The sequence below is a fragment of the Homo sapiens genome, chromosome 11 (assembly GCF_000001405.40).
Source record: "Homo sapiens chromosome 11, GRCh38.p14 Primary Assembly".
NCBI classification, from domain to species: domain Eukaryota; kingdom Metazoa; phylum Chordata; class Mammalia; order Primates; family Hominidae; genus Homo; species Homo sapiens.
The window spans coordinates 118,331,995-118,342,885 of NC_000011.10; the positions used below are offsets into that span (position 1 = coordinate 118,331,995).

The 10,891-nt window shown below is 46.8% G+C and overlaps 1 protein-coding gene across 2 annotated transcripts, besides 1 other annotated feature; it reads right to left on the reverse strand.

Moving 5' to 3' along the window:
• Positions 6,626-6,775: an enhancer, noted in NCBI's record as "active region_5589". NCBI's record gives its function as "activates an Ori minimal core promoter by ATAC-STARR-seq in GM12878 lymphoblastoid cells {active_cell/tissue: GM12878}" and the evidence as "EXISTENCE:reporter gene assay evidence [ECO:0000049][PMID:35858748]".
• Positions 6,960-10,711, reverse strand: CD3D (CD3 delta subunit of T-cell receptor complex). 2 transcript variants are annotated; one of them, NM_000732.6, is made up of 5 exons: positions 10,559-10,711; positions 8,381-8,599; positions 7,781-7,912; positions 7,457-7,500; positions 7,081-7,233 (listed from the first exon to the last, which is right to left on the reverse strand). In NM_000732.6, the coding sequence occupies exons 1-5, from the start codon at positions 10,611-10,613 to the stop codon at positions 7,168-7,170; spliced, it is 516 nt and encodes a 171-aa protein (NP_000723.1). In that variant the 5' UTR covers positions 10,614-10,711; the 3' UTR covers positions 7,081-7,167. The 2 variants fall into 2 exon arrangements, with proteins under 2 accessions (NP_001035741.1, NP_000723.1); NM_001040651.2 differs by lacking the exon at positions 7,781-7,912 and having other exon boundaries at positions 6,960-7,233.

Below are 10,891 nucleotides of genomic sequence, written 5' to 3' on the forward strand. Positions count from 1 at the left end.
CACTTCTCAGACGGGGTGGTTGCCAGGCAGAGGGTCTCCTCACTTCTCAGATGGGGCGGCCGGGCAGAGACGCTCCTCACCTCCCAGACGGGGTCGTGGCCGGGCAGAGGTGCTCCCCACATCTCAGACGATGGGCGGCCGGGCAGAGACGCTCCTCACTTCCTAGATGTGATGGCGGCTGGGAAGAGGCGCTCCTCACTTCCTAGATGGGATGGCGGCCGGGCAGAGATGCTCCTCACTTTCCAGACTGGGCAGCCAGGCAGAGGGGCTCCTCACATCCCAGACGATGGGCGGCCAGGCAGAGACACTCCTCACTTCCCAGACGGGGTGGCGGCCGGGCAGAGGCTGCAATCTCGGCACTTTGGGAGGCCAAGGCAGACGGCTGGGAGGTGGAGGTTGTAGCGAGCCGAGATCACGCCACTGCACTCCAGCCTGGGCACCATTGAGCACTGAGTGAACGAGACTCCGTCTGCAATCCCGGCACCTCAGGAGGCCGAGGCTGGCGGATCACTTGTGGTTAGGGGCTGGAGACTGGCCTGGCCAACACAGCGAAACCCCGTCTCCACCAAAAAAATACGAAAACCAGTCAGGCGTGGCGGCGCACGCCTGCAATTGCAGGCACTCCGCAGGCTGAGGCAGGAGAATCAGGCAGGGAGGTTGCAGTGAGCCGAGATGGCAGCAGTACAGTCCAGCTTCGGCTCCGCATGAGAGGGAGACCGTGGAAAGAGAGGGAGACCGTGGGGAGAGGGAGAGGGAGAGGGAGAGGGGGAGGGGTGTTTGTTTGTTTTTAAGACAAGGTCTTGCTCTGTTGCCTGTGTTGAAGTGCAGTGACTTGATCATAGCTCACTGCAGCTTCTAACTCCTGGGCGCAAGTCTTTTTTTTTTTTTTTTTTTGAGACTCTCTCTGTCACCCAGGCTGGAGTGCAGTGGTACGATCTCGGCTCACTACAATCCCTGCCTCCTGAGTTCAAGAGATTCTCCTGTCTCAGCATCCTGAATAGCTGGGATTACAAGTGCACACCACCACACTCAGCTAATTTTTGTATTTTTAGTAGAGATGGGGTTTCACCCTGTTGCCCAGGATAGTCTCAAATTCCTGACCTCAAGTGATCTGCCCACCTCGGCCTCCCAAAGTGCTGGGGTTACAGGCGTGAGCCACCACACCCCACCTTCTCCCAAAGTCCCCACCTTCTAATACCATCACATTCAAGGTTAGGAATTCAACACAGGAATTTCGGGGGAACACAAACATTCAGCCCATAACAGTTATGAACAATCGTGCCAATAAATTTCACAACTCGGGTAAAATGGACACAGTCCTTGAAAAAGCCCACTGATGATGAAATAGATAGCCCAAATAGCCCTTTATCTATTAAATAAATTGAATTTGTAGTTTAAAAAAAAATTCAGACCTAGGTAGCATCACTGGTGAAATCTACCAGACATTTAAAGAAGAAATAATACCAATTCTACACAAACACTTCAAGAAAATTGAAGAAGGAATTCTTCCAACTTGTTCTGTGGAGACCAGATTTACCCTGTGTTGATTACCCTGGTTAATTTTATGTGCCAACTTAGCTAGGCCCAGATATTTGGCCTAATACATCAGTATGTTGTTGTGAAAGTATTTTTATAGATGAGATTAACATTTAAATTAGTAGACTTTAAGTAAGGTAGATTATTCTCCATAACGTGAGTGGACCTCATCCAATCACTTGAAAGCTTTAAGAGAAAACAGACTGAGGTCCTGTGAGGAAGAGGAAAATCTGTCTCTAGATTGTCTATGGACAGTTGCAACAGCAACTCCCTTGGTCTCCAACCTGCCAAAATACCCTGCAGATTTTAGACATGTCAGCTACATGAGCCAACTTCTCTAGAGAAACAGAACCAATAGGGTACATACACAGTTGTCCCATCCCTCGGTGGGGGATTAGTTCCAAGACCTCCCCATGGCTACCAAAAGCCATGGATGCTCAAGTCCCTTATATAAAATGATGTAATATTTGCATGTAACCTGCACACATCCTCCTATATACTTTAAACCATCTCTAGATTACTTGTAATACCTAATACAACATAAATGCCATATAAATAGTTATTGTACTATATTGTTTAGGGGATAATGACAAGAAAAATTCTGTATCTGTTCAGTACAAGTGCAGTCATCCTTTTTTTTTTCCAAATATTTTTGATCTTCAGTTGGTTAAATCCACAAATGCAGAACCCATGGATTCAGAGAAACAGACAAACTGAACCAATGGGAGATATATATATATATATATGTGTGTGTGTGTGTGTATATATATATATATATATATAAAATTAAAGTAGACAAAGAAATAATAAAGATTACTATTCACAATAGCAAAGTGGGATACACGCACACAAACACACACACACACATACACACACACACACACACACACACACACACACATATATATATCACATTGGTTCTCTCTCTCTGGAGAACCCTAATATACTGATACCAAAAACAAAGACATTACAAGAAAAGAAAACTATAGACAAATCCTCTCATGACTTAGAGGCAAAAATTCTTAACAAAATTTTAATAAATTTAATCTAATAACATATCAAAAGAATAATACCAAATGACTAGAGTTTTTTTCAGGAATGAAAGGTTGGTTTAACATATCGTGCCATCAATGTAATGTACCATATTAACAGACTAAAAAAGTAAAACCATATTATCATCTCAATGGATGCAGGGTAAGCACTTGACGAGACCCAACATCTATTTTTGATAAAAATTCTCAGCAAACTAGAAAGAAAAGAACTAGCTCAATCTGTTAAAGGACATCTAAGAAAAACCCACAGCTAATGTACTTAAAGATGAAAGACAATGCTTTCCTCCTAAGATCATGAACAAGACAAGGATGTCCTCTCTCCACTTCTATTCAACATTGTACTGGAGGTTCTAGCCAGTGCAATAAGCCAAGAAACAGAAACAAAAAGCACCCAGATAGGAAAGAAAACAAACTGTTTTTGTTCACAGACAACATGATTGTCTATGTAGAATACTCAACGGTCTTACAAAAAGTTACTAGAATTAATAAGTGAGTGTAGCAGTTTTGCTTTTTGTTTTGATTAATATTCAAAAATTAATTGTATTTTTATATACTAGTAATAAACAATTGGAAATTTAAAAAATTTTAATACCATATATAGCCTGGTACAGTGGCTCACACCTATAGTCCCAGCACTTTGGGAGGTCAAGGTGGGAGGATCGCTTCAGTACAGGAGTCCAAGACCAGCCTAGGCAACATAGTGAGATCCCGTGTCTACACAAAAATAAAAATATTCAGGCATAGTGGCACATGTCTGTAGTGCCAGAGCTACTTGAGAAGCTGAGGTGGGAGGATCACTTAAGCCCAGAAGTTCGAGGCTGCAGTGAGCTATAATCATGCCACTGTACTTCAGCCTGAGTGACACAGCAAGACCTTGCCTCTAAAAAACCAAAAAAAAAAAACAAAGCACATACAATAGCATCAAAAATATAAAATATTTCGGAATAAATCTGGTAAAATATATGTTCATGTATGAAAAGACTCAATAGTGTTAAGATGTTAATTCTCCCCAAATTGATCTATAAATGCAATACAATCTTGATCAAAATCCCAGCAGGCATTTTTGTAGTAACTGAGGAGCCAATTCAAATGGAAGTGCAAAGGACTTAGAGTAGCTAAAACAACTTCCTTTAAAAGTTTTGGGCCAGGCATGGTGGCTCACGCCTGTAATCCCAGCAGTTTGGGAGGCCAAGGCTGGCAGATCACCTGAAGTCAGGGGTTTAAGACCAGCATGGCCAATGTGGTGGAACCCTGTCTCTACTAAAAATACAAAAATTAGCCAGGTATGGTGGTGGGCACCTGTAATCCCAGCTACTCAGGATGCTGAGGCAGGAGAATCACTTGAACCTGGGAGGCAGAGTTTGCAGTGATCCCAGATCAGGCCACTGCACTTCAGCCTGGGCAACAGAGTGAGACTCCATCAAAAAAAAAAAAAGTTTCACCTGGCCAGGGGTGATGGTTCATGACTGTAATCCCAGCATTTTAGGAGGCTGAGGAGGAAGGATCACTTCAGACTTAGGTAGCAACACTGGTGAAATCTATCAAACCCAGGAACTCAAGACCAGTCTGGGTAACAAAGCAAGACTCTGTTTCTACCAAAAAATTTTTAAAAATTTGCCAGGTGTGGAGATCACTACTCCATCCTTGAACTCCTGGGCTCAAACAATCCTCTGGCCTCAGCCTCCCGAGTAGCTAGGACTACAGGTGCACACCAGCACACCTAGCTAGCATGAGTGTTTTTTGTTTTTGTTTTGTTTTGTTGTTTTTTTGTTTGTTTTTTTATCATGTGACATAAGATTTATTGACTTCATATCAGCATTTAAGTATTGTTAACTTTTTTTTAATTTTATTATTATTATACTTTAAGTTTTAGGGTACATGTTTGTTTTGTTTTTTGAGACAGGGTCTCACTCTGTCGCCCAGGCTGGAGTGCAGTGGTGAAATCATGGCCCACTGTAGCCTTGACCTCCCCAGGCTCAGGTGATCCTCCCACCTCAAACTCCCAAGTATCTGGGACTACAGGTGCGCATCACCACACCAGCTAATTTTTTTGTGTATTTTTGTAAAGATGGAGTTTCTCCAATATTGCCCAGGCTGGTCTCGAACTCCTGAGCTCAAGTGATCCACCCACCTCAGCCTCCTAAAGTACTGGGATTACAGGCATAAGCCACTGCACCTGGCCAGGCACCAGTGTTTTTAAAGGTCCCAGAAGATTCCAATGTGCAGCCAATGTTGAGAACTGGGGAATGAGGGATGTAAATGAATCCGAGGAATACAAGGTATTATGAATGTGTGGAACGCGAGAAGGATCCAAAGTTTTGGTTAGATACAAGCCATGGAAGGGATGCCCAAGGTAGAGAATCCAGTGGGAAAGCAGGATCTTGGGTTAGGACGACTGCAGGAGTAGGGATAAAAAGGATAGGGATAACTCAGAACTATGAATGAAACATGTGAATTAGACATTTGTTCTGTCTCTCATGAAATTAGGGTCTGAATGTATCTTGAGAAGATGGTGGGCAGAATCATCCAATTTTCTGGCTATGTGGTTACTAATTCTTTTCTCCTTTGGGAACCCAGGTCTATGAAATTCTCAGTCATTAAACTTTCCAGAGGCTCTTTAAATTATTTGTGTAATCAGAGAACAAAAGAAGGAATCCCCTGCTCTGGGATCCAGGAACAGGCATAAAAGACATAAGAGAGAAAGTGGCCTCTATTCTCCCTCTAAACAAGAGACTCTGAATTTGGGCTGTTTCAGAATCAACTGGAAACACCCTGCCTAGAGTGCGTCTCTAGCACTTTTATTTTATTTTATTTTATTTTATTTTATTTTATTTTGAGACCAAGTCTCGCTCTGTCACCAGGCTGGAGTGCGGTGGCGCAATCTTGACTCACTGCAACCTCCGCCTCCCGGGTTCAAGCAATTCTCCTGCCTCAGCCTCCCGAGTAGCTGGGATTACAGGCGTGCACCACCATGCCCAGCTAATTTTTGTATTTTTAGTAGAAACGGGGTTTCACCATGTTGGCCAGGATGATCTCAATCTCCTGATCTTGTGATCTGCCCGCCTAAACCTCCCAAAGTGCTGGGATTACAGGTGTGAGCCACCATGCCTGGCTGCATTTATATTTTTAATAAATCCCTCAGGCCTCCAAAGTTTCAGAACCATAGCTATTTTTTTTTTAAGATAGGGTCTCACTCTGTAGCCCAGGCTGGAGTGCAGTGGCACAATCATAACTCACTGCAGCCTCCAATTCCCAGCCTCATGCAATCCTCCCACCTCAGCCTCCCAAATAGCTAGGACTACAGGTGCCCACCACTGCACTGAGCTGATTTTGTTTTTTTTTTTGGTCGAGACGGGATGTTGCTATGTTGCCCAGGCTGGTTTTGAACTCCTAGGCTCAAGTGATCCTCTTGCCTCTGCCTCCTAAAGTGCTGGGATTACATGCATGAGCCATTGTGCCCAGCCTAGAACCACTACCATTAGAAGTAATAGAAGATGACATCTATTGAAAATATCCCTGTCTCAGCCAGGTGCAGTGGCTCATGCCTCTAATCCCAGCACTTTTGGAGGCTGAGTGAGTGGATCATTTGAGGTCAAGAGTTCGAGACCAGCCTGGCCAACATGATGAAACCCTGTCTCTACTAAAAATACAAAAATTAGCTGAACTTGGTGACACATGCTTGCAATCCCAGCTACTCAGGAGGCTGAGGCAGGAGAATCACTTGACTCCAGGAGACAGAGGTTGCAGTAAGCCAAGATCATGCCACAGCACTCCAGCCTGAGCAACAGAGCAAGACTCCATCTCAAAAAAAAAAAAAATCCCTGTCTCAAACTCCTGCTTTCCAGGTAGATGGAGCGGGATAATGTGCTTTAATTGGTGAAGGGTTTCTGATCCCCATTTATCATGCAGAAGGCAGGAGCAAGCCAGAGACAGGTCCTGGCGAAAGGAAGCTAAAATGGTGCCTTTGATACAGGGGAAAGGGATACGAAAGGGGCTTAGGTGAGACCTCCTTACAGCTAGTGGCACCTGGTCAGCAGGGCCGTAGAGTTGAGGCCATCCCCTTAGCAGCAGTGGGACTTTGTTACACACACCCTCTGAGTCTTGGTGAGAAACTAGTCCCAGGGCCCCTTGTTGTCTCTGCCACTCCCATTCATGACATCATGGAAACTTCTGTGCGGCTGGGCTCCTGAACACAGCAGCCTGCCCTCGGCTGGATGAGGCAGCCAAAACCCTAAAAGGGTTGTGATAGGGACTGGAGTCAACAAGTAGCTGTGGGAACGTGGTGGCGCAGACCCTTCACCCAGGGAGCCCTGTGGGCTAGAAACACCAGACAGCCAGGATGTGGCGAGAGACTGCCCAACACACTGTCTGTGTGAGGCAGAGGAAGGAAGGAGATGAAGGAAGAAACAGGTAGGTAGGAGGGCGAGATCCCAAGCAAGTCAGGACAACTCCCACGCCTTGCCCAGGAGCCTTAAGAAGCCCAGGCACCTGCTGAGTGAAAGAGGATATATTTATTGGCTGAGCAAGAAGGGAAGGTACAGTTGGTAATGGCTGCTTCTAGAAGCCACCAGTCTCAGGTTCACTTGTTCCGAGCCCAGTTTCCTCCAAGGTGGCTGTACTGAGCATCATCTCGATCTCGGAGGGGCTAAGAGAGGAGAAGAGAAAACGGTCAGGAGGCAGGGTTAGAACTCTTCAAGGAAGGGCCCCAGCAGGCCCTGACGATGAGAGCTCCTGCCTGACCTCTCCAGTCACACCCAGCAATGAACTCCCCAGTAGGACCCTTCCCACGTGCAAACAGCATTCAGTGTGAGCCTCTCTATCCCCACTTACCCTCCCTTCATTCCTGCCTCCTTCCCCTCAACGCTCACCTGATAGACCTGGTCATTCCTCAACAGAGCTTGTGTGTCGGCAGCTAGAAGAACCAGAGAGAGACATCAATGGCCTAGCAGATGGGACTGTGAGATCCACCCTCCCACACCCTCAGAAGTCTGCATGAGTGATATGAACACACAAGTTCTTTCAACAGTCAAAGTTCTAGGAGTCTTTAGGAGATTGCAAGAGTAACTCCCAGCTGAGACTAAACCTACCACCAGCCCCATTCCTTAGCTGGTGCATAAGCTCACTGGTACACACACACACACACACACACACACACACACAAACACACTCTCATGCTCTGCTCTTCCACTAACCCCCAGACAGCCTTCCAGTCTCATGTCCAGCAAAGCAGAAGACTCCCAAAGCAAGGAGCAGAGTGGCAATGACATCAGTGACAATGATGCCAGCCACGGTGGCTGGATCCAGCTCCACACAGCTCTGGCACACTGTGGGGGAAGGGAGGAGAGAGGAGAGGTTGAGAGCCTTTAAGATCAGGGAACCATCCTCTGCCTCCTAGGGCAACCCTTAGATCTCTTATGCCAAAACCCAAACTTCAATAAGACCCTGGGAGAAAGGCCTGGTGATGGGCTTGCCACACCTTCCTCCACCCTGCATCCTAAGGAATCCCTGGGAAGAGCCAAGAAGTAATCTCAGCTTTTGGGACCTTGAACAAGGTGGTGGGCCAAACCTCTCACCCAACCAAGGCTGCAGTAACATGACCCCTACTGCTCTGTCTTGCTGAGTTAAGCTCTCTCTTCCACTTTGAAGGTCCCCAAATCTGGCTTGTACCATTACAATAGTGACCTCACTTTGTTTAGAGAACAGATGGGTTCACCATATCCCTCTCTAGCCAGAAAGTTCTCACATCCAGAAGCCCTATCCATTCCAACCCAAAGGGTTCAGGAAGCACGTACTTCGATAATGAACTTGCACGGTAGATTCTTTGTCCTTGTATATATCTGTCCCATTACACCTATATATTCCTCGTGGGTCCAGGATGCGTTTTCCCAGGTCCAGTCTTGTAATGTCTGAGAGCAGTGTTCCCACCGTTCCCTCTACCCATGTGATGCTGGTATTGCAATTCACAAACACTCTGTCCTCAAGTTCCTCTATAGGTATCTTGAAGGGGCTCACTAAAGGGGAAAAAATATCACAGTTGGAGACAGCTCTTTGATCTGCACCAAGCCCTTTGTTCTGCGGAAGCTCATACTTAACAGAGACCATTTTCCTGGTCCAGGACAGTTTATGGCTTCCATCAAGAGAGACAGAAGTCACAAGAAAAAGCCTTCAGAAAGTTCCCCACCAACTGCAGGGGTCAAGGGGGACATGAGGATGCCATTCAAGCAGAGGACAGGTCTTGGGGCCTTGGTGCAAAAGAGGACCCCTCAGAGCAGGATTGACCCAAGCACCTTCCTGGAAATGAATCCAGACCACTGATGAGGAGTAGGGGGAGCACGGACCACTGAAGCACCTGGAAGATGTGGAAAGACAGAAGAACATTCCTCGATTGGAAATGTCTGCATTTTTTCTTCAAGGAAACATCTAATTCCACTTCCCAGCCATCTACAACACTCCCACTTCAGCTTCTTATCCTCATCCTTCCTCATTGCCCCTGCTCCATTGACAACCAAGAAAGCGGGGCTCTCAACACTGAAGCCTTTCCCAGGGCCAGGGATGGCTGTGGGTGGAGACCAGCTGGTTTACCAGCCCCTGAATTATCAGCCAAGTGGTCCAGAACGGGACCAGGGCAAATCCCATGTACAGTTTTCCACCCTTGGTTAGAAGGAGGAGAACAGGAAAAAAATTTTATTGAATCCATCCCTAGAGCTCCTCACAAGTCAAGTCTTGTGGGAGACTTTTAGGGCTGGAGGTGAGTGCAGCAACATTCCAGATGCAGTGAGTTCCTCTGACAGCCTGAGCACATCTCCACAGGCCACAGAGGCACTACAGTCTATGCCTCCAAACACAGGGAAAAGTGGAGGCTACATTCATTCATCCTGGGCTTCACACTAAGTCCCAAATTTGGATACAAGAGCATCTTCTAGAAAACCCTGAAACAGCTGTTGCTCACACTTCTGAAGCAGGTTGGAAGTATATGCATGTATCCTCAGGGAGACACATGCACATCAAATGCTTCACGTCCTACAGTCGCGTCCTCTTCAGGGATCTGTCTCCAGTGGAAATCCTGAGTGCCCTAGTGCAGCCAACTATTAGGTGACCATTGGACCCAGTTTGCTTAGTGTTGAAGGGGTTCCTCGGACATGGGACTTTCCATTTTAAAACTGAAATTGGCAAACTGAGATGAGTTAAAATCCTACCATGTAACAACCCCTCAAATCTTCCCTCCGTCCTGCTCAACCTAAAGTTAACTTCTCTTAAAGCATTCACATAAGTGCTAGGACATGCCTCCAGGGATGACATAATCATGGCCAAACAAACAAGAGTCCTGATTCCAGAGGCCATCAGGCCTAAAAGGAGTAGTGCAGGAAGCTGTGCTCCCATGGCCAGTCCCAGATTCAGGTACATACGTACTGAGCTATTTTCTGCAGATCTCTGGCCTAAGGCCTTCTGAGAGACATTCTAGGCCCACATGCACCCATGGCTGGAGTCAGTCAAAGCCAAGAGCCTGTTTCCCAGACTCTATGCTACATCCTGCCCCTGCCCTCCTGACACCCCTGGGGTGCCTGGTGAACTGAAGCTAGCACCGAGAAGCACTTTTTTTTTTTTTTGAGATAAGGTCTCACAGGTTGCCTAGGTTGGAGGGCAGTGGCATGATCACAGCTCACTGAAGCCTTGAAATCCCGGGCTCAAGTGACCCTCCTGCCTCAGCCTCTCAAATAGCTGGGACTACAGTTGTGCACCACCATGCCTGGCTAATTCTTTTGTTTTTTGTAAAGATAGAGTCTCATCATGTTGCTCAGACTGGTCTCAAACTCCTGGCCTCAAAGGATCCTCCCACTTCGGCCTCCCAAAGCTCTGGGATTACTGGTGTGAGCCACCGTGCCTGGCAAGAAACACTTTCAAGTGGGCCTCACTCCCATCAGTAATGTCCCTCTCAGGTCCCTTCCCCCACCCACCTGGAGTAGCCTTACCTTGCGAGAGAAGGGTAGCCAGTACCAGGCCAGAGAGAAACGTGCTATGTTCCATCTCCCAGCGGAACTCATCCAGTAGATAAAGCCAGGTCACCGAACTATCAGCCTGGGTGAGAGCTGCCCTCCCCTAGCTGACTCACAGGTACCGGAAAGAGGAGAGTGGGGGAGGAACTAGAAGATGTCTGCTTCTCTGCTTTCTGCCGTTGATGGTGGGAAATTTTCAGAGTGGGGGTGGGCTAGGGGTAGGGTAGGAAGGAAGCGGTGTAAATTGCTCTATCTCTGAGCAGGGAGCTGGCAGAGAATATGGAAAAGGTGGCCTGAACTTTAGCGTCC

What these genes read in the sequence shown, in the direction of transcription:
- CD3D (NM_000732.6), bottom strand. Translation starts at nt 10,613, where the DNA reads ATGGAACATAGCACGTTTCTCTCTGGCCTGGTACTGGCTACCCTTCTC. An exon ending in GGCTACCCTTCTCTCGCAAG is followed by an intron (nt 8,600 to 10,558) that starts GTAAGGCTACTC and finishes TTTCCCCTTTAG; the next exon opens with TGAGCCCCTTCAAGATACCT. An exon ending in CGTGCAAGTTCATTATCGAA is followed by an intron (nt 7,913 to 8,380) that starts GTACGTGCTTCC and finishes CTTCCCCCACAG; the next exon opens with TGTGCCAGAGCTGTGTGGAG.